General features: G+C 48.9%; 2 annotated features.

The window, feature by feature from the left end:
- Positions 7,665 to 7,959: an enhancer, noted in NCBI's record as "tiled region #14106; HepG2 Activating DNase unmatched - State 9:DNaseU, and K562 Activating non-DNase unmatched - State 9:DNaseU". NCBI's record gives its function as "activates a minimal TATA promoter and a strong SV40 promoter by Sharpr-MPRA in HepG2 and K562 cells {active_cell/tissue: HepG2 | K562}" and the evidence as "EXISTENCE:reporter gene assay evidence [ECO:0000049][PMID:27701403]".
- Positions 21,231 to 21,280: an enhancer, noted in NCBI's record as "active region_5226". NCBI's record gives its function as "activates an Ori minimal core promoter by ATAC-STARR-seq in GM12878 lymphoblastoid cells {active_cell/tissue: GM12878}" and the evidence as "EXISTENCE:reporter gene assay evidence [ECO:0000049][PMID:35858748]".

The following is a 23,425-nucleotide window of genomic DNA, read 5'->3' as shown; positions in this document are numbered from 1 at the left end:
TCTCAGTTCCACCATTGGACAGCCAGTGTAGACACAGAAAAAGAAGCTGACCGGGGTCGATTAGGGGAATTTTCATCATCATATCATGGCACTTGAACAGCACTCTGTGTATGTAAATTCATGTATTATGTGTGTGCATTTGTGTATATATATATACACTAAATACATATGTGCTAAATTTATGCACACACATTAATTTAGTTCTCACAACATTTCTGTAAACAGTACTGTAAACAGTACAACATTCCTGTAAATAGTACTTTTACTGTTTCCATTTTACAGATGACCAAGGTGAGGCACAGAGAGGTTATATAACTTGTCCAAGCTCACACAGCTAAAATCTGGTGGAACCATAACTACCTACATGATCTGATCCCAGAATCCATTCCCTCAATCATTCTGACCGGCTTGGAAGATAATTTCTGTGTTGTTAAGCCATGACCAAACATCCATCTGGTCACTGCTGCCCCTGAGTCTCTGAGACTGGTGTAGGCAGTGGGGATTAGTCTCTCTTATCTACTTTGGAACCTTCGGTTCTTCATTCATTAATTCATTTAATCCTCTGATTCATTCAATAAATATGTATTGAGTGCCTACTATGTGTCAAGTCCTGTGCCGGGTGCCAGAGATACCAAGATAAATTAGATATGGTCTTTGTCCTTAAAGGCCTTGAAAGGTGGGGGATAAGACATGGTCAGTTAACGGCACAGATGACACATGCTGTTCTGTTCCAAAGGGAGTAGCAGGTGGTGTGTTGTCTAAGAATGTGTTTCTCAATCTGGCCCCATCTACCATCTGGTTAGCGCAATTTCTCCCTTGCACTTTACCCTGTGATCTTCTCTTATCTTTAGTTTCTAAAGCATCACTGCAAGCTTTTGGATTTCTGCATATCTTCTTGAGCATTTTCACAGGATATGGAGATTAGTCTCATCAGTCATATCTGCTGTCCTTTTTTTATCATCCCAGGAAAGTGTCCTTGTTCCTGTAAGTAATGGGAAGCCAGGGAAGGATTCAGAGTAGGATAGATGGGCACTTTAGAATGACCACTCCAGCTATAATGTGGAAAATAGACTGAATGGTGGAGGTAAGATAAGCAGCCCAGTCAGAAAACTGCTCCAGTGCCCAGGTGGAATTATCTGAGCAAAGACTGCGGCTGGGGGAGACAGGAGGGTATGGATTCAATGAGTATCAAGCAAATGGAATCAAAGGGACTAAGTAATTCAATCAACAGTGTTTAATTAGCACCTGTTAAGTGCCAGGCACTGTGCCAGGTGCCCAGAATACAGCAGGGAACAAGATAGACACAGCCTCTGCCTTCATTGCATCTAGATGGGGAAATGGACAATTGGAGCCTTTACAATAAAAGATGATAAACAATGCAACAGAGGACATCAGGGCACTGCAGGAAAACAGAAGGGGGCACACGAGGGGGCGTGAGGGAAGAGTCCGGGCTGATGCCTGGATTTCTGCCTTGGCTGCAGGAGTATATGATGGGGCCATCGTCTGAGCCAGAGAATCCAGGAGGGCAGAACCCTATGGACGTCTCTCTGGGTCCCCCCAAGCCCAGGCCAGGGCAGGAGCAGGGGAGGTGGTGAGCAGAGACTGTTGAATGAATGGATAAATGAATGTGGGCATGCGAATACTCCCCAGCCCTCAGCCCGGCCCTGAAAGAGGAAGATGGGGAGTGGTCCTGAAAGAAACTAGAAGTTTCAGGAAGCCCAGTGGTTACTCAACAACCACAAACTGTCAGCCTCTTCCCAGTTACCCAACGGGCCATATGAGGCAGCCGTGACGCTCCTGATGTCCAGCAGGACAAGCCGGGCTGCCCATGACTCTGTATCTGGGGCCTGGATAGCGGGCAGACTCAGCATACCCCTAGCTGTTCTGAGGCCACCAGTGTGGGCCCCAAAGGCTATTGGAGACCTTCCTGGAACTGGCAGGGAAGGAAGAATTAGCCCTCCAAATTCCCTGGGCATGTGTTCCTAGAGTTGGGACCCTTCCTCTGGCTCCTGCATTCTTGAAGTGTCCCCCTGCCTCAGCACCAAGCCTCCTGGGCTGGGCCTGGGTCTGTTTGCCTCTATCCAAAAGCAGAAATTGATAATTATCTTCTGTGTGCCCAGTGCCCAGCTTGGACAACCCCTTCCCCCCAGCACATGATATAAAATTTCTCTTCTTTCTCATTTTACTTTTTTTGTTTGTTTGTTTTGAGACAGGATCTCTCTCTGTCATCCAAGCTGGAGTACAGTGGTGTGATAATGCCTCACTGAAGCCTTAACCTCCTGGCCTCAAGTGATCCTCCCACCCCAGCCTCCCATGTAGCTGGGACTACAGGTGTGCCCCACCATGCCCAGCTAATTTTTCTATTTATTTTTTTGTAGAGATGGGTTTTTGCCATCTTGCCAGGCTAGTCTCAGATTCCTGGGTTCAAGCAATCTGCCCCCCCTCAGCATCCCTAAGTCCTGAAATTACAGGCATGAGCCTCTGTGCCCTGCCAGGAAATGTTTCTTTAGTTCAGAGAGAGGTGTACCCTAAGCCCAGGGGCCAGGCTCCCCCACCCTCAGGAGAAGGAAGGTTCATCGGGAGCCACATAAACACCATGTCGTTGGCATGTGGCCAGGATACCCATGGTTACACCATGAGTGGGTGGGCCTAGGCTCTGACAGCCTCTGACCCAGGGTGGGGAAGGCACCAACCCACTGCCCCGCCTCTACCCCTGTCCGCTGTCCATATCTGAGTGTCCTGAAATGGGAGAATCTTTGAATCTAAAGGATAGAAAGGCCCTCTGTGGTCTTGTTGTCCACCTGCCCTTTTTTTTCTGTCTTTCTGGTCCATTCATTCTCCTTAATAATTATTTACCACCCCTCAAAAAATTGTCTGCATTCCTATCTTCTCCCTCCCCTATGAAAAGGATATATGAGCTTCTGTACCCCATCGGGGGCTTGGAATCGCCACTCGATAGTTCTCCCTCATGCACATTAATGAATGTGTCTGCCTTTTCTCCTATTCATCTGCCTTTGGTCAGTTGATGTTTCAGCAAATATTTAGAGGGCAAAGGGGAAGTTTTCCCTTGGCCCCTAAAGTCGCTGGCCAGGTGTTTGCCATCAGCATGGGATTACATGGAACTGGCAGGGAAAGACTTCTGTGGCTTCTTTGGCTCCTGTCGCTGCTAGTAGGTTGCAAAAGGGCCTAATGGCCCCTGGTATAAATGCAGGTGCATTTGCGTGTGTGTGTGTGTATGTGTGTGTATGTTTAGCTTGTGTTTATTTTATCCATAGATGTTTATATTAGTATATATTACTTTATATAGTTATATATATACATATATAATAGCGAAATGTATAAGTATACATAAATGGATATTTTATGTGTATGTGTGTGTGTATACATATATACATTTCTTTATTTATGTTTTATTATTATTTTTCTTGAGATGGGAGTCTTGCTCTGTCACCCAGACTGGAGTGCAGTGGCACGATCTCAGCTCACTGCAACCTCCACCTCCCAGGTTCAAGTGATTTTCCTGCCTCAGCCTCCTGAGTAGCTGGGATTATAGGCACGCACCACCACGCCTGGCTAATTTTTGTATTTTTAGTAGAGACGGGTTTCACCATGTTGGTCAGGCTGGTCTCGAACTCCTAACCTCATGATTCGCCCTCCTTGGCCTCCCAAAGTGCTGGGATCACAGGCGTGAGTCACTGCGCCTGGTCACATACGTACATTTCTTTTTCTTCTCACATATATGGGGAAATGCCACCAGATTGGCAGACGGTGCTACAAATTTATATGTATAAATATCTAGATTTTAATTTTTATTTATTTATCTATTGATGCATATAATTATATATATAACATATTTCTTATATACTTAAAAATAGAAATCTTTTATTTGTGAGTGTATATATATTTCTAGTTTTGCCTTTCCTTGTGTCTGTACCCATAAAACACTCAAGTGACAGGCAGCGCCACACCGTTTCTTGAGAGCAGGTTCCGAAACCCTGAGTCTCCACTGACCCTTGTTCCTCTGGTCTCATGTGAGGACACAGCTGTACATTGGACTCTAGATGTCAGAGCCATTTGTTCCCATGGTGTCTCCATGAGGTTGAGCCCCCACTCTAGGAGAAAACAGCTGTTTCGGGGTGAATGGGGGCAGCAAAACCCAGATGGACCTGGTAGTCTCAGGCGGTCTCACATTCAAGTCCTATCTGATTGCAACTTCTCCGAGCTTCTAAGAAGAGAAGGGGCTCTTCTCGGCTTGTGCAGCCATACACTTGTCAGCCTAGGCTGTGATCTAAAGGCTGGCTCAAAAAATCACTTTGCTCCTCCCTTCTGAAGAATCCAAACTGACCTGTTCAGGCCCTGATTATAATGCCCTCAGCAATGGGAACTCACCTTAACCTGGGACCTGAGACCAGCCTTCTTCCCGAGACCTGAGACCTGAGACCAGTCACTTCCCCAAGGGTCTCCTCCCTATCTCCAAGGCCACAGAGCCTTATCTTCCCCCCACAGCCCAAAACAGTCCAGGAGAGCCAGGGGAAGGGGTGGGGATGAGGCCCCTGCCATCCCTGAGAGATGAACAAGTGAGCAGTAGCTCCTTTCTCCATGGCCACAGTTAAAGTGTCATCACTTGCAATCACTAAACCATCAGTGGGGCCACTGAAAGGCAAGAGACACTGAAAGGCAAAAGACAGGCCATTCTGCCAAGCAGGAAGCTGAAGACTGTTTCAAGGCAGTATGCCATGGTGGTTAAGAGCACCTCTGCTAGATACTAGCTGCGTGACCCTTAATCCTTCTGAAGTGGATTTTCTTGCTGGTAAAATGGGATAATGACGCCTGCCTGGTAGGTTAGTGTGTGGATTAAATGACTGTGTGTAAAGAAAGGGTCAGCCCAATGCATACTAGGGAGGTGTTCAGGGAATCCATGCTTTCCCATGGCAGTGTCGGACGCTGTTGCCACACAGCCACACACACCACATGGGCTCCCCAGGTCCCCTTCTAGGCAGCCCATGTTCCCTGCCCAGGCTGGGTTCATCCAGGCTGATGGCCAAATGCAGCCTCCGCCAGGAGGGGAGCGGCCCACTCCACCCTGGGGATTGCCCGATCACATTGGCTGTGCCCATCTTGTGGGCTCCCCACCCTTCAGGTCTTTTCCACCTGAGAGTGGGCTAGGGCTCTCCTTCCTGCCCTAGAATCACTTATTTGTCTGACTCTTCAAGCAAGACGTCATGCGTTTACCGAAATTTCTCAACCACCTCCTGGGAACAAGGCCCTGGCAGGGAGATCCAGGGGCCCAGAAGAAACACAGAGTAGGGAAGGGGGTGGGGCCCACAGTTCAATTAGTTCTCAAGTACTAAACAAAGGATTTTGTTTTTCTGACGCTAGAAATAACACCTCTTCATTGCAGAGTACTTGAAAAATACAGAAAAATATAAAACAGAAAATAAAAAATCCTGACAGTCCTGATTCACACAGGTAACTGACATTAAGATTTTGTTGTGTTTGATACTAAGGTTTTCTAGGCATTTTAACCTGGTCATAATGTATAATACAATTGTGTATCCTGCCTTTTTTTCATTCACCATAAAGGCACAAAACCTTTTCCTGGGTTTTTACAAGCCAGCCAGTTAAATTATACCCTGTTGATTTAAGCTAATCTTTCTGACAAAAATCCTTACCTTTCATTGGGATTTAGCTGTTTCTTCCTAGGATAGCACAGTGCTGGGTGCCAGCCTGGAGGAAAAGGAGGAGAGAGGAGAAAAGAGGAGATAAAACCAACACCAAGGAGATTCATGCTTTCTGCCCCTTTCTTCCCCTCATGCTAAATATGTTTCTCAGTATGGGAATGCCAGGGCAGCCACCTGACTCCCAGGATCATCTGGACTCACCTGAGGTTCTGAATCTTTCCCCTGCTCGCTTTGCACACCCAACCCTAAAGTGAAGAGATCTCACTCCCTGCTAGGAAAAATGCCTTCCTCTGTGGGGGATAGCCCTGCAGACCCTAGGCAGCAAAGATTCTGCTCCAGCCACCCTGCTCCCACTCAGTCCTCTGCCTACTTGTCACATGGCCTGGTTTTCAGGCCTCTATAGCCTGGTCACCCTCTCTTGACTCAGCACATACCCCAAAGTGTCAGAAAGGTCCTAGAGCTCCAGCTGGGTCTGGCTGAGTGTGGAGCAGGGTAGGGCAGTCCCTTCTCTGTTCTGGTTGCTATGCCTCTGTTAATGCAGCCTGCATTTGCATTTGTTTGTTTGGCAGCCTCTGCCTTAGCTCATGTAGGGCTTGTGGTCAGCTCAGACTCTGAGCTCCTTTTTGTATCATTGTTGGTAAACCAGTTCTCCCATAGCCTGTGTTTGGGCAATCTTTTGAAGAAATCACACGCAAGCCTTGATATATTTCCCATTTTAAATATTTGCGTTGATTTTTAGCACCCTTCCTGACTTTTTGTCATGGGTGAACCTGATACATGTGCGCCGTGTCTTTATCCAACCTGTTGATGAAATAATTACCTCAACCTGGCCCAAGACAGAAACTCCCTTCTCACAGGCCCTGGCCCATAACCAGAGCCATAAGTTTGATCAGCTTCCTAAAAGCCTGTGAGGAAATACCACCTTCTTTAAAAATCCAATCATGCATTAATATTCACCCAAAATAATTGAAATCAGATACCTATACATGAATTGTTCATAGTAGCACTATTCACAATAGCCAAAAGGTAGAAATAACCTAAATGTCCATCAACAGATAAATGGATAAACAATGTGGCATTCATACAATGAAATATTACTCAACCGTAAGAGCAGTAAAGTTCTGATACTGCTACAAAATGGACAAACCTCAAAAAAATATTGTGCTGAGTGAAAGAAGCCAGATACAAAAGTCACATATTATATGATTCCATCTATGTGAAATATTCAGAATAAATAAATCCATAGAGGCAAAAAGCAGATTGGCGGTCGCCAGGGGCTGAGGGGTAGGGGAAACAGAGTGACTGCTTAAGCAGGTTTTCTTTTGGGGTGATGAAAATGTTTTAGATGGGCATAGTGGCTCACAGCTGTAATCCCAGCACTTTGTGAGGCTGAGGCTGGCAGATTGCTTGAGCCCAGGAGTTCAAGACCAGCCTGGGCAACGTGGTGAAAAATAATACAAAAAAATACAAAAACTAGCTGGGCATGGTGGCACATGCCTGTAGTCCCAGCTAGTCAGGAGGCTGAGGTGGGAGGATCACCTGAACCTGGGAGGTGGAGGTTGCAGTGAGCTGAGACCACACCACTGCACTCCAGCTTGGGTAACAGAGACAGACCCTGTCTCAGAAAAAAAAAAAAAAAAAAAAAAATATATATATATATATATATGAACTAGATAGAGGTGGTGGTTGCACAATACTGTGAATGTACTAAATGCCACTGAGACATACACTTTAAAATGGTTAATTGTATATTATGTGAATTTCACCTCAATAAAAAATGATTTGCAAAAGAAAATAAATTCAGTTATACATTCAACCGACAACCTTGTGCTGGGTATTGAGAACATGGAAATGAATCAGACCTGGTTCCTGCCAGTGCTGGTAGAGCCCATAGCCTTAGATGCTGAGATGGGGCAGTTGAACCCAGAACTTGAACATTGCCCTCTGAAATTTACCTATCGGGTGGGTTCTCTCATGGGTTCCCACCATACAGACTGCCAGGGGGTACTGCCCCTTCCATCTCAGTGATTGGAATGCATCCTTTGAGTAACTTCGCCATGGAGAAGTCTGACAATCACTCCCTCTGTCATGTGATCAAGCCTGTTATCAATGGTGATGAGTCATGCTGATGGAATGTTCCCTTGATATAATGCAATGAGAGTGGCACTTCACCTCTGTGACCTTCCTCGCAAGAACTCAACCAAGTCTAATCATGAGAAAACCAACAGCAAAGCCCAAATTAACAGTCTGCACAATACCTGATGATGAATACTCAAAACTCTCAAGATCATCAAAAACCAGGAGAGTCTGAGCAACTCTCTCAGACCAGGAAGAAAGGATGGAGGCATGATGTTTAAGTGTAACGTGGCACCTTGGATGGAATCCTGGGACAGAAAAAGGACATTAGGTAAAAACGAAGGAAATGTAAATAAAGTATGGATTTTAGTTAATAATAATTTACTAATACTGGTTCATTTGCCGTGGCCAATATAAGACGTTAGCAGTAGAGGAAAGTGGGTGAGGATATACGAGAATCCTCTGTACCATCTTTGCAACTTTTCTGTGCATCAAAAACTATTCTTTTAAGAAGTTTGTCTACTTGTTCTAAAATTTTATTTTAAATTATTATCCTTAAAAATTGCTTCCTTAAAATGGCTGTAACAGGCTGTTCAGATAGAGGTGACAATGGGGACATGAATGGGGTGGAGTGTGACCTACTAAACAGTTTGTTGTGTAAGGTATCATTTGTTCTCCAGGTGCTAACTGACTCCAGAGTGAAACATAGGGCCTTGCCTGATCTCCACCCTCCCCTTCTAGTTCCTGACCTGCCTCTTTTTGATAGGCCCCTGACTTGGGGACATCCTTATAGACACCAATATCTTCAATATCTTCAAAAGTGCAGACTATGAGAGTCAGGGTCTGGCCGGGCACGGTGGCTCGTGCCTGTAATCCCAGCACTTTGGGAGGCCGAGATAGTGGATCACCTGAATTCAGGAGTTCGACACCAGCCTGGCCAACATGATGAAACCGCATCTCTACTAAAAATACAAAAATTAGCCGCATGTGGTGGTGTGTGCCTATAATCCCAGCTACCCAGGAGGCTGAGGCAGGAGAATCACTGGAACTTGGGAGGCAGAGGTTGCATTGAGCCAAGAATTGCCACTGCACTCCAGCCTGGGTGACAGAGTGAGACTCTGTCTCAAAAAAAAAAAAAGAGTCCGGGTCTCTCTTCTGTAGCCATAAGATCCTACAGCAGTTCTGCTTCCCAGGCCCTGGATCACACATCTTCCCCAGGGCACTTACACCAGGAAGAACTTTAGATGAGCCATTTCACTGCCTTCCCACAGGGGTGCGGCCTCATGGCCCCATGGTTATGTTCTAAGTCAACAGTAGAATGACATCTTAATCCAGCATAATATCCACTGATGCTCCCGCCCACTAGCCAGGGGCCATTTCCTCCTCTGCTGAGTAGAGAAGGTTGGTACATAAGGGCATCACAGACACCATCAATTTGCTCAGAAGGGCATCACCATGGCTTCGACTGGCAGGATAGTGGTTAAGAGGAATGATTTGGAATAGACAACCCTACATTCAAATCCTGATTCTATCACTTATTCGTTTATTTAAACCCTATGACCCTCAGTTTCCACAACTGTAAAATACAGGTAATAAGGTTCTGGACTATTGAAGGTATTGGTAATCCGGAATGTCACTGGCAGAGGGTCTAAAAGTCTCTCCTCTGTGGTTTCCATCGTTTACCTTTTGAAAGTTGAATCTCCAGGCCAGTGCAGTGTCTCACGCCTGCAATCCCAACACTTTGGGAGGCCGAGGTAGGCAGATCACTTGAGATCAGGAGTTCGAGACCAGCCTGGCCAACATCGTGAAACCCTGTCTCTACTAAAAATACAAAAATTAGCTGGGCGTGGTGGTGCACACCTGTAATCCCAGCTACTTGGGAGGCTGAGGCAGGAGAATTGCTTGAACCCGGGAGGTGGAGGTTGCAGTGAGCCGAGATTGTGCCACTGCATTGCAGCCTGGGCAACAGAGTGAGACTCTGCCTCAAAAAAAAAAAAAAAAGAAAGAAAGTTGAATTTCCAGTCTCCTGGTGTTTGTGTTCTCTCTGAGTCCTCGAAACTCTCCGACAGTGGTTCTGTGAGCACAGTAGTGGGCTCCGCTGTGGCTAGGGGTGCAATTCAGCTCAAAACTCCTCTGGAGCAGCTGGGGGAAGGCCAGGAGGGTCTGATACTTGCCCATCCTGACATTTTCACCCCTAACCCTCTGTCAGTGACATTCCCTGTCATGTCATTTACCTGAAGGTTTGTGAACCTCTGGCAAGTTGCGGGGAGAAAGTAAGCAGGAGAAAGAAGCAGGGGTTCACTGGCTCACCAGCCTCCCTTCTGTTCTAACAGTGACCAACAGTGGAAAGAGGACGAAGGCTGTCAATGCCATTTTGGGGAATCATATTTGAATGATTACCTTGTGCTAGGAACCTTGAGCCTCCCTTTCCCGAGCCCTTGGCTCCCAGGTCAAGTGGGAGAACTCTTATAATTCTTTTGTGTCTCTGAATCTTGTCTCCATAATCAAACTAGAAATTACCCATAGGACATATTTCCTTCTCTTCTTGACTCTCTTTATCAAATGTGACCTACAAACCTACTGTAAATATCCCCAGAGAGATATATCATTCCCTGGGTAAGGAAAACTATCGTTGCCATTGTCAGTGGTGAGACTCCATAATCACTATCAAGAATCACTACCTTTACCACATCATCAACCATCATAGCAAATTCTGCTCTCCTCAAAGTGCCTTTAATGATAGTTGTAATTTATTGAACACCTAGTATGTGTCAGATACTGAAACAAGGGCTTTCCATGTATAATCTCAATAGAATTATCTAAAGTCCGTGTTCTTAATAAACAACGCTGTTCCAGCCCTGGTCCAGGAGTGTAAAACCCTCCTACCTTTTGCTGGGAGCGTTTGCATGTGCTGTTGTTGCTGTGTTTTTGCCACTGTGAACACTGCACATGGACAGGCCCTAGAAGACCATCCCAGGGTGTGTGGGAGCCCCTGGGGTAGGGGGACAGACCTGGGAACCTGAGCTGGGCACCAAGCATGCCAAAGGTCTCAGCTCTGCCCATGAACTAAGGGCTGGCAATGACCTTGGAACCAGAAGCTGGCATAACCAGAAAATCAGTGAAACTCCACTAGAAGACAGGGACTTTAAACAGGGCTTCAGGCTCCTGTCAAAACTCTTGGATGGAGCTGATAAGAAGTCCACAGCCTGCAGGGAAATGGCACCTGCTCCCAAAGCCACAAGTCCATTAGTGATACAGAAGCCAGCAAAGAAAGAGAGAACTGGCTGGATCTTGAAGCCAGCAGGGGGAGAGGAAAGGATGACAATGGATTTGCCTATGGCCAGACTTGACTCAGACAGTTACTGGTGAGGAGACTGTCACAGAGGAGCACTCAAGGTCTTGTGCATGCCTGTACCCAGCACTCCTTTATATTTTACAGGGCTGTCATCAGGTGACTCATCACTGAAACCGCCCCATGTCTATCCCAGTGCAAACCTGCCCGGAATCAGGCACATACCTACAGAGGCCAGGGAGGTCCAGGAGGTCTAAGACATGAGCCAATGTGACATGAGCTCCTGGAGCCCTCCAGTGTGCCAAACATTAGCCCTTTCATTGAAGGACTGTGAGGAGGCCCAGGCAGTACACCAAGGGGCAGCCAGGGTGCTGGAGCACTTGGAGGTCTCAGGGCTGCTACAGCTGTGCCATTGTGTACTGACTGCACATCAGCTCCAATTATACCCTGGCATCCAGCACTGTGCCTGGCACATAGTAGGTGCTTATTGGGCACACAAATGAGAGGGTGAAAGGTCCCTGCCCTAGAGGCATTCACAGTCTAGCAGGGGAGACATGGCACACTGCAAACCCGTGAAGAATCTTCCCCAGTGGTAGCCTTGGATTTTGGCCATTGGATACCTTGAGGTAGCGAAGTATGTCCAGGACCAGGTGGAGGGTGGTGCGTGGGGGGTGGTGTGAGCGCAGGCTGCAGGGGAATGCTGCGTGCATGCATGCACAGGGCTCAGCTGTCCCAGGAGTGCTAGGGAACTGCATGACTCAGGACAGGGCGGCAGGCTGAAGGAAGGGTGGGACGACCCAGGATAGTGCCAGTGAACCCATGGGGAACCAGTCTCAAACCTGCCTTCCTGCTTCCCTTCCTCCGTCCACAGTTTACTGCTCCGGGCAAAGTCTGCTGCAGTTCACAGAGAAGCAACAGCTTTGATGGCATCTGCAACCTAAGTCATAAAGATCAAAGTGGGATAAAGCTGGAGTGAGTTTCTGAGTTCCAAAAATAAGTAACATCTCAGAGGTTACTTTAAAAAATAGAGGCAGCTCAGTGCAACAGAAGGAGCTTGAGCCTCAGCATTAGACAAATCTGAGTTAAAATCCTGGCTTAGCCACTGTAGCACCTACACTTCCCAAGCCTCAGTTTCTTCTTTAATCTGGGCACTGGAGATGGTGTCTGTAGGGGGGCCTGGCTCATTTAGCCAGGGCTTAGTGAAGGGTAGGTAGGCATGGCCCTGTCACAGTCATTGCGGGGTCCCCGACCACAGCTGTGAAGGGGTCTGGACAAGCAGATGCTAAACGCCACTGGGACCTGCATACAGGGAGAAAGTCACTCATCTCTTCTAATACTGGAAAGAGATTGTGACTACCTACTAAAATTGCCCCAAGCAACATTCTATGCAGAGGAGAAAGAACAATGTGGTGTGACTAGTCCTTCCAGCCTCAGTGGGACAGCCACACAGTATTTCCCATCTATCAGCTCTCTATCAATTCATCTCCTGTGTCAGGTTATTGGCCAGGGCAAGAGGGAATGAGAGGAGAGGAAGATCCAGTCCCTGACCCCTGGAAATGCAGACTCTTGCAGGGCCAGATTCTCATGAGCAATGGCATGCCATGATGCCAAGCCTCACCAGGTCCAGGCCACGGCCGGAGGTGCCGAGTTCAGGCTGTTTGCATGGTGACCTCTCAGACTTAGTCAGCGTCCCCACCATCCCCAGCTTTAGTTGCATCATTGCACTCTCACTTATGCCACTAATATTCACTGAAGCCTGCTCTGTGGTAGGGCCCGAGTACAACAGAACGTGTCCTCTGCCTGCATAAAGCCTCAGTGACATGGACCAGTTGGTCCCAGTGAAAGGGCGATTCATTCTCTCCTGTTTTGTGATTGTGTGTCTGCCTCCCCACCAGACCGTGTGCTCCATGGAGCAGGGGCTGTGCCTGTCCCGATCACTGTCGGCTCCACTGTCCTAATCACTGCCCAGAGTCTGCTCCAAAGCCTCCTCCAGAGAGGGTGCTCCATTGATTGAACAGCTCCATGAGGAGGAGGGTGACTGACAGCACTCTGGGAACCCAGAGGAGGAAGTCACAACGCTAAAGGATAGCCAAGAAAGGGCTCCTGGCAGAGGCTGTGGGTAAAGTTTGCATAGGATGGAAAGAGGCAGGGCTGGAACAAGCAAGGGTATGGCAGTAGGAATGAGGTTGAGCTTTGCAGGAGTTCTGGGGAAGAGAGGTGGCGAGGTTAGCTGAGTGCAGGCCAGGAAGAGTTCCGGTGCTGCCTCTTGGGGTCTTGGGGTCTCTCTGCCTCTCTACATAGCTCTTAGTTTCCCCTAACCCCAGGGTTCTCACTCCCTCATCCCCCTACCTTCCAACAAATCAAGAAGTTCATGGATAAGGGACCCTGAGGGCAGCAAGGGAGGTGGTGAGAGCTCCAGTTGTCTGAGTCTAAGACCTTCCTCTGATGAAGTCCCAGCTCCAATTACCTTTCCCACCTAGCATGGCCGGAGAAAGTACAAGACGCCCAGTCAAATTTGAATTTCTGATAAACAGTGAAAAATTCTTTAACATAACGGATATTTGGGACATGTGCTTATACTAAAAAGTTATTCATTGCTAATCTGAAATTCAAATTTAACAACATATCCTGTATTGACATTTGCTAAACCTTGCAAACCCTCCCTTGACCCCCGCTTTTCAGCATCTGTCATTCACCCCTGCCCTGAGCCCCCAGGAACCATCAGAGGTTGTGGGCCTCCTGCAACATACTCAACGAAACAGAAATTCAGAGCTGCTAGGAACACTGAAGCTTATCTAGCCCCATTGCTCCCCACTATAAGTGGACTAGGAGGCCGAGGCCCAGAGGAAGCAGGCACTGGCAGGTCCTTGGGCACCTCTCAACAACTTGACTGGAACTTGGGCCTTCATGACAGCAGGAGGACCCTTGGCTGGGGGCTTCTTAGGAAAGGCCAGGGCCCTCCTATTCATCATTCTGGGGCAAGGCAAGGCAGGGAGTCTCCAGGTTTCTGCCCTGACCCTGGGCTGTGGTTTCCTGGATCTTGACACCCCCAAGTGAGTCACCTCCACCTCCCAGGCTACATCTGACTCAGTGCCAAGGCCCTGGGGCTCCTCAGCTCTTACCTGGCTCCCAGGTTGGAGGAGCCAAGTGGGCAGGTTGGGGTGGCTCTTGGGCAGGACTTTGTGGGAGGGACTAGACCTTGTGAGAGGCTCATTTCCCCACAGTCCTCCTCAGGCCCTGGTAATGGTCCAGTCAAGGGCAGCCCTCAGAAACTCCCAATGGTGCGGCTGGGTGCAGTGGCTCACACCTGTAATCCCAGCACCTTGGGAGGCAGAAGCGGGCAGATCACTTGGGGTCAGGAGTTCAAGACGAGCCTGGCCAACATGGTGAAACCCCGTCTCTACTAAAAATACAAAAGTTATCTGGGTGTGGTGACGGGAGCCTGTAATCCCAGCTACTTGGGAGGCTGAGGCAGGAGAATTGCTTGAACTCGGGAGGTGGAGGTTGCAGTGAGCCAAGTTCGCACCACTGCACTTTAGCCTGGGTGACAGAGTGAGACTCTGTCTCAAAAAAAAAAAAAAAAAAAAAAAAAATAGGAACTCCCAGTGGTGCAGCTAGAGCTGAGGAGAAGGTGGAGTGCCTGGTGGCAGGCGGGGTGGGGGTACATGGGTCGGGGGTAGGGACATAGATTTAATTAAAATCACTCAGCCCATCAGGCCTGCAGGGGTCTTCTGTCAAGTGGCCATTCCCCGCTCCCCACTGAAGGTGCCCATCCCTCTGGGCTCTGTTTCTTCCTCTCATCTTTCCATTGTTATGTTATGTATTAGTTTGCTTATTGTCAATGTCTAGTTAGAACATAAATCCTGTTCACTGTTTCAAGATCATAAAACAGTACCTGGCTCAACAAGCTTTGTGGAAATTGCCCTTACTGCATTTCACCTTGTGTGGAACATGGCCCCTGATGCCACAGTCCCCCACCCACCCATGAGCATCTCAGCATCTGCCAGGAGACTGGCTGTGTGCAGAGCTTTGTGTTCCCCCGGTCCAGGTTCCAGTTCCCTCCTCTGATTACAGCCCAGCCTGGGTCCTGGGACTGAGAAAGTAAAAGCACAGGGTTGGGGCAGACTGACAGACAGTGGGTTTAGGGTGCTGCTCAGGGTGGGGCTCTCATCTGCCTGCCCCAGTGCTTCCACCCGAACCACACAAGCCCACAGCACCTAGACGTGGCCCAGGAGCTCAATCCCAGGCCCACACGGAGCTGACCCCTCCCAGCCAGTCGGGCTGAGGGTACAGCACTGAGCCAGAAGCTGATGACCTGTCTGCCTTGACTTGTGACCTGCCAGATCCCTAGGCCTTGCCGGGCCTGGCTCTGTCTGTCTGTACAATGATGGTTCTGGGCTGACTGGTCTCTGAGGCTTGCCAGCTCAGCCCACCCATGGCTTTTTCCTACCCCTTATCTACCTCTAAACCTCTGTGCCAGCCACTCCTGCATTACCCTGGGGGTACTCCTGAGCCAAGGATCTTAGACCCTCCCCTTCACCCTAGTCAGACCCTTTGCTGACCCTTCTCTGGGACCCAAGTCCTGGTCCTATCTGTCTTGGGGACCATAGGCAGTTGGTGCCAAAGACTGTCCCCAGGATACTTGGGATACTTTAAAGTCATCCAGTAAAATGTCATTCAGGGAAAATCTGTCCACATTTACCTGGCTCCAGCCCTCTAATCAATCCTCCTTTGGGACGCCTGCTCCCCTGACATGTCCAAAGCTGATGAACTCTTTATCTTTCCCCAGACCTGCTCTTCCTGTCACAACCTCAGCAAGAGCATCACCAACCAGCCGGTCACCTGGGCCAGGAACCCAGAAGCCACCAAGCCTCCTCTCATTTTCTGCCTGCCCTCCTCCCATCCTTAACTAAATCCTGGCCACCCCTCTGTGCTATCCTGGGGACTGTCCACCTCTCACCTTCCGCTGAACTGCCCAACTTCATCCTTCATCTTTTCCTCCTGAACCTCAAAAGCAGAGGGCCCTTTGACACTGCTGTCTGCCTTCAGTCCATGCTTCATGCAGCAACCAGAGAGGGACCCTGCTGGCCACACACCCAGCCTTGTCACTCCCCTGCTCAAAACCCTTCCATGGTTCCCACTGCCCTCTGGATAAGGTCTGGCTCCTTGGCCTGGCATTCGAGGCCCTCCAGGCTCTGGACCCTGCCAGCCTTATCAGCTCATCTCATGTGGCTGTTCGACTTGCAGCCAAGTATCCTCCAGCTCTCAGCTGTGGCTCACGATGTTCCCTCCACCTAGGAGGCCTCTATTCTTCCACATCTTTAGGTTCCTCCATCCTGAATCATCTGGAGAGTCCGCTCTGGGAATTGACTCCTTATTTAGGGAGGCTGGATAAACAAGGCTTTTCTCAGGCTGCATGTGTGTTTTTAGACTCAGTCAACATTTATCTATTTATTCAGGTACTCAGCCTTTCAAAAAGGATTTGAGGTGGGCTATTCAATATTGATTGTGGGCTACCATGTGCAGCAAAGTCCAGTGTGCACACACACACTCATTCACACACAAGGCCGGGGCACCATGAGAACCAGGAACCAGGCAGAAGCTTGCAAAGGCCTCATGGGGCCAGTGTGAGGATGAGGCACCTGGATTCAGAGGGAGGCCCACCTGGCTCAGGGTAACACAGACAGATATGGGGTTGAGGGTTCAAATCTGAGGTTTTCTGAGCCCAGTTCACAGGGCTGCCCCTGGAGGACTGAAGCCCAGCCCTGTCTTTAGAAAGTTCCTTGGTTATATGTAGAGAGGGGGCTCTGGAAAATTAAACAAAGCCCACCAGACAGCTCACCTCCCCACAGGGTGCTCAGTGTCCCATCTTATTTAGCCCCCTAGGGTCAGGGAGGAAGCAGGAGCTGGAGATGAGGGGAGGATTTGGAAAGACAGAAGGTAGTAACAGAGGCAGCAAAGGCTGCAGGTGGGGGAAGGAGACCCATAGCTTCCCTCCGTGGCCCCTGCTTGCATTTCCCTTCCCTTTCGCCCACGTCAGCTTCAAGATCTGTTCCTCTTTTCTTCTGCAACATTACTGGCTGGGGGCAGGCTGGGGCGAAGACTGTGGTAGCTGCTCAACCTCTAGGTTCTCATGGGAGAGAACCTAGGCCCCAGCCGAGTGGCGGCCCTGTGGGCACTGCAGACTCCAGAGTTCCCAGCACGCTTTCCGGCCCTTTTCTCCTCCTCTGTACCCCCAGCTAGTCTGTGAGCAGGTATCACCACACCCTTTCCGAGGGGAGGAAACCAAGGACCAGAGCGTTGGTGACAGAGGAAGGACTCCATCCCTTTGTTCTCAGAAGCTAAAATCCTCCCTCTAGAAAGTATCCCAGGTGTGGCTGGGCACGGTGGCTCACACCTGTAATCCCAGCACTTTGGGAGGCTGAGGCGGGCAGATCACCTGAGGTCAGACCAGCCTGGCCAACATGGCGAAAACCCATCTCTACCAAAAATACAAAATTACAAAATTAATAAAAATACAAAATTAGCCAGTTGTGATGGTGGGTGCCTGTAATCCCAGCTACTTGGGAGGCTGAGGCAGGGAGAATTGCTTGAACCTGGAAGGCGGAGATTGCAGTGAACCGAAATTGTGCCATTGCACTCCAGCCTCGGTGACAAAGCGAGACTCATCTCAAAAAACAGAAAGTATCCCAGGTGTCATCTGCTCCTAATCTCTGACAGCCTTGCACAGTAACTGAGTTCAGAAATATGTGTTGGGTTGGCATCAGAGAGGGCCGCTGAGAAGGGGCCTCACCTGTCTGCATCCTCCAGGCATGGAGGCACCAATACTCAGTCTTGATCTCCATGGGCTGTTCTAAATCCTGGGCTCCTCTGCGGTTTCACATACAGGGCATGGGACGTGGAGGTCAGCTCAGTGGGACTCTCCAGGCAGTGGGGAGGGCGGACAGGGGACAAAGATTCTAGTTTCATCTTTTGCAGCCAAAGGTGGGGCTGGCCTGGCCCACTCCTAGGTGACCCTAACTGACCCCAACAGTGAGTGGCTGGGAACTGACCCAGGCTGAGCTGAGGCAGCTGTCAAAGCAGCCCTAAAATTAGCCCCAACAGGGATAGGGAGGGGGGATCTGGCCCAGGCTTCAGGCTCCCATGGCCCCAAGGGACTGAGCCCACACCCCACTCAAGATGGAAGAGGTCAGCCAGAGTTTTGGCAGTGACCTACCCGGAGGCTGGGAGGGGAGATTCACAAGCTAGGATGAACATGGTTCAGAAGGGGGATCGATGGGCAGGAGGCACCCCCTGCTAGTTTCTTGGATCCTATGTGGCTCCCAGCCCCAAGCCCTTCAGAGCCCTGAGAGGAACCAAGGAGAGACTTCACTATTTTTGTTCTCCTAGAACAGGATTGAGGGGGCCAGCCTGTCCTTCCAAGGCTGAACTGGATAACCTCACACCTTAGCATCAACTCCCAAGAGCAGAGGAGGAGCCAGGAGGTGTGTTAGCCTGATTGATAGAGGTGTGGATTGGAGACACCTGGGACAGGCCCAAAGTCAGCCTCATCCTGCCCAGGCATGCAGCTCCACCCACTTTCCTCTGCTCTGCCTTAGTGCTCTGAGAATCTTATTTAAAATGCAGATCCTGGCTGAGTGTGGTACCTCATGCCTATAATCCGAGCACTTTGGGATGCCAAGGAGGGAGAATCACTTGAGGCCAGGACTTTGAGATCAGTCCTGGTAACATAACAAGACCCCACCCCATCTCTACAAAAAACTTTTTAAAAAATTAGCTGGATGTGGCGTCATGTGCCTATAGTCCCAGCTACTTGGGAGGCTGAGGCAGAAGCATTGCTTGATCCTGGGAGTTCAAGGCTGCAGTGTGCTATTGAGTATGATTGTACTACTGCACTGGAGCCTGTCGCTGACAGAGCGAGACCCCATCTCTAAAAACAAAACAAAACAAAATCGGGGCGGGGCGCAGTGGCTCACACCTGTAATCCCAGCACTTTGGGAAGCCGATGTGGGTGGATCACGAGGTCAGGAGATCAAGACCATCCTGGCTAACACGGTGAAACCCCATCTCTACTAAAAAAAAAAAAAAATAGCCAGGCGTGGTGGTGGGTGCCTATTGTCCTAGGAGACAGGAGAATGGCATGAACCTGGGAGGCAGAACTTGCAGTGAGCTGAGATTGCGCCACTGCACTCACTCCAGCCTGGGCGACAGAGCAAGACTCTGTTTCAAAAAAAAAAAAAAAAAAACAAACCAAAACAGATCATGATTCAGAAGAAGATCTGGGGTCAGGTATGAGATTCTTCAAGATTCTAACAAGGTCCCAGATTGGCCCGCAGATCACACTTTGAGCACAAAACTCATTTCCCGGGCAGCTTGGGTGGACCCCAAGGCCAGGGCCCCGTCTTCTCCTATACACAGGTATCCCTACCACAGGTAACCCCAACTCCCATCTTCAGTAGAGCCTGGCATGAGCATATGGGCACCCAGTATACTAGGTGGCTGGCTGGTTTATTGTGGGTTCCTGCATGGGCAGTAGGTGTGTGTGGTAATCCCCGGGCCTCTGTGTCTACTGCATGTCTCTTGTTACATGTGTAAAAAGTGTACAAAGATGCACATATACAATAATGATGAAATAAAAATAGCTAAAGTTTAAAAAGTAGATAATCTTTATTGAGCACTATGCCCAGGGAAGGTACTAGAAATGTTACACTCAGTATCTTATTTAATTCTCATAACAACCCCTGTGAGATGAGAAAACCGAGGCTCAGAGAGGTTAAGTGACTTGCTCAAGGTCACACAGCTGATAAGCAGCAGTAAGGACTGGAATATGCATGTGCACCCGTGCACCCAGTGCGCCCATCTTGGTGCATGTGAGCTTGTGGGCATGTGTGCTGTTGAGTGGGCACAGGTGATGCAGGAGGTGAGCAGCCGCAAGGATGGGGTGGGCGGGGTAAGAGCCATGCACAATGATTCAGAGTGTGAGCTTTCCGCAGGTAGGGAGACAGGAGACCCAGGTGGAGGGAGATGCAGGCAGGAGCCAGCAAGTCTGGGCTTGAGTCTTCATACTGCAGGGCCAGCTTTGACTTCCTCCTTTGTGAAATTAGTGTGATAATATTTGCCTCACAAGGCTCTGCTGTGAGAAAGAAACGCAATAATAACGCAAAGTGTGCCACGCGGGCCTGCCTGGCACACAGCAGGCACTCAAGATGTGTGAGCTGGCCCTTCCTTCCCCTAGGGACTGAACTGCTTGGGAGTGACTTGTGCCCTGACTGGTAGCAGCCAGCTCACTGGATTAAAGGAGGCATCCTGGGGAGGGCTGGGGACAAGTGGTGAAAAGGCATGGAGCGTGGAGTGGGTTGCAGCTGAGGGAGCACCCAGGGAGGGACGGACATTTGAACAGAGCTCAGAGACTGGCCCACCACCTTTCCCTTGGCAGAGACAGGAGAAGCTGCAAGGCTGGAGATGCCCCAACTCCGGAGAAGTCCTCTCAGGAAAGCAAACACCCTGTCCCTTGACTCAGCCCTCAGCTATGCCAGACACATCAGCCCTCACGGTCCTGCAGGCCATGCCCACTGGAGACCAGATCTCCTCTGGGCCGGGCCGGACATCGTTTAGGCTGGGCCTTCGGAAGTGCCCAGTGACTCACTTACCCTTCCTCCATCCACAACCCGATCTTGCTCCTGGAGCTGGAGTCCCCTGAGGCTGCCCACACGTGGGTGGCTCCCAGAAGGTGGAGCTGTGAGGCATCATGGGGCAGACCCTTACCCCTCAGCAAGTCCGCTGCCTAAGTCCCTCCTCGTGGGTGGTGAGCTGCCTCCTGCAGGGCTCTGTAACAAGCAGGTGGTTGCCTGGGTGGGTGTCAGTCTCCCCTGGGACCCGGAGTGGAGGGGCACCCAGGTGGATCCCCCAGGCCATCCAGAAGCAGGTGCTGGGAGTGGAACCCCAGGCACACAGTTGCCGAGAACTGGCTTGCCGTGGGAGGCTGGATTGAAGTGCTGGAGGACCAGAGGACTCACAACATCCACCTCCATCATCTTCCGCGTGAGGAGTCTCAGCCCAAAAGAGGGCCATCACCAGGCCGGGATCATCTGCAGAAGGCACAGATCCCACCTCAGCCACCCATCCACGTTGCTGATGGGAGAACGTCCAGAGGCAGCTGTGGAAGGGTTGCTCTGTCGCCTCCGTGTGGCAGCAGGGGAGAAAGGCAGGGCTGGGCAGAGGTGGATGGGCATCTCTGGGTGGGGTGAGTCCAGTGTGAAGTGCCCTTCCTGGGTAATAGGGTGAGGGCTCTCTCCACTTACACACCCTCCATCCCTACCGATCACTCCAATCCAGTATCCACCTCCCCCACCAGACCGGTAGCCCCCACCAGACCGGGTAGGGCAAGGTCGGATCCATCATATCACTAGGCATGCTGGGAGGGCATTGTGAGGGTTTGAGGAAGTGGTTTGAGTGGAATTGAATTCAGCATAAATGAAAGGAAACAGTGTGGAATGTGGACAAAGACAAACAAAATGTTCATCGAATCAATGTGTGTAAAAGCAGAAACTGTGTTGGTAATTGTCGAAGTGGGTCACGGGCACAGGGGTTCATTACACCGTTCGATTCATTTTCATGTGTGTTTGAAATATTTTGAAATGAAAGAATTAATAGAAAACATAAAGGTCTAGCAATATAAATCTAAATAAATTATGATGCAGCTGTGCAAAGGAATAATGTCTACAGACATTAAAAATGCTACTGTCTTTTGTTTTTAATTATTTATGACAGCTTTATTGATATGTAATTTATATATCATACAATTCACCCATTTAAAGTATACAATTCAATGGCTTTCAGTATATACACAAAGTTTTGAACCAGCACAGTCAATTTTATAACATTTTCATCTCCCCCTAACAAAACTCCATGCCCATTAGCTGACACTCTTCATTTCTCCCCAGACCTCCCCATCCCCCAGCCTATACATTTACTTTCTGTCTCTATAGATTTGTCTATTCTAGATATTTTGTATGAGTGGAGTCATACAATATGTGATCTTCTGCGTCTGGCTTCTTTGATTTAGCATAATGTTTTTAAGGTCCATCTATGTTGTAGTATGTATCAGTACTTCATTCCTTTTTGTGACTGAATCATATTCCATTGTGTGGATATATCACATTTCATTGATCCATTCATTCATTGGTGGACATTTATGTTGTTTCAATTTTTTAAGCTATTATAAATAATGCTGCTATGAACATTCTGTACAAGTTTTGTGTGTGGACACATGTTTTTATTTCTCTTGAATATATACCTAGCAGTGAAACTTCTGGGTCTTATGGTAACCCTATGCTTACCTATTTGAGGGACCTCCAAACTGTTTTCCAAAGGGGCTGTACCATGTTACATTCCCACCAGCATTGTATGAAGGTTCCGATTCGCCACATTTTGTTATTATCTGTCTTCTTTATCAGAGCCTTCCCAGTGGGTGTGGCACATGTACTTTTTAATGACATGGGGAAAATATCCATGGTATAATGTTAGATTTTTAAAAGCAGTCTTTAGAACTATTCATACAATGTAATCTCAACTCTGTAAAATGCATACATCTACAGAAACCAGACCCAAAAAATAATAATCTACCAAAATGTTAATATGATTATCTATAACAATTTGGGGTGATTTTTATTCTTTCCTAAATTTTTTACAATTTGGACATGTATCAATGGGATAAAAAACCAACATTATAAAAGAAGGTAAAGAAAAATAATGAATATTAATAGAAAGAAAGATAATGCAAGCAAATTAAAATAAATATTAAAATACATTGAACAAAGCTGATTAAGGATCCATGTGCAGGACCACGGCCTGGGCACTTGGAGGAGGATGTCTGAGTATGGTTGGAGAAGCAGAAGAGTCAGGCCATTGATTCTGGGGCATGAGGATGTGCAGAAAAGGAGCAGTTACTCTCAGTGGGAGTGAGGGAAGGCTGCATTGGAAAAGGCAACCCTACAGCTGGCTGCATCTGAAACAAGAGGAGAGATGGGTAGGAGACGGGGGCATCCAGGGCCCAGATACATCAAACGCAGCCCTGATCTCTGTGCACACAAGCCACTGGGGTTGCAACAAGGGCATCAACGTCTCTAAAGGCAGAGACAGGGGTCTGAGTGAACCTAGCTCTGCCCTAACTTGAGGTGACTGACCTAGCCCTATGCATTGAGGATGAGTCTCCTTACCTTCAAAATGGCCCTGATAACCTCTCTTGAGGGTTGTTATGAGGCTTGAGTGAGATAGGAGTGTACAGCAGTTCCAGCACAGGCCTCTCCCACAACAGATGAGTGATTTGCTGCAAGGATACAGGGAGAGACAAGCTAACTCTAATGGTGGGGTGATG

Source organism: Homo sapiens, chromosome 11, assembly GCF_000001405.40.
Source record: "Homo sapiens chromosome 11, GRCh38.p14 Primary Assembly".
Taxonomy (NCBI): Eukaryota; Metazoa; Chordata; class Mammalia; order Primates; family Hominidae; genus Homo; species Homo sapiens.
This window is presented reverse-complemented; position numbering and strand designations above follow the sequence as displayed.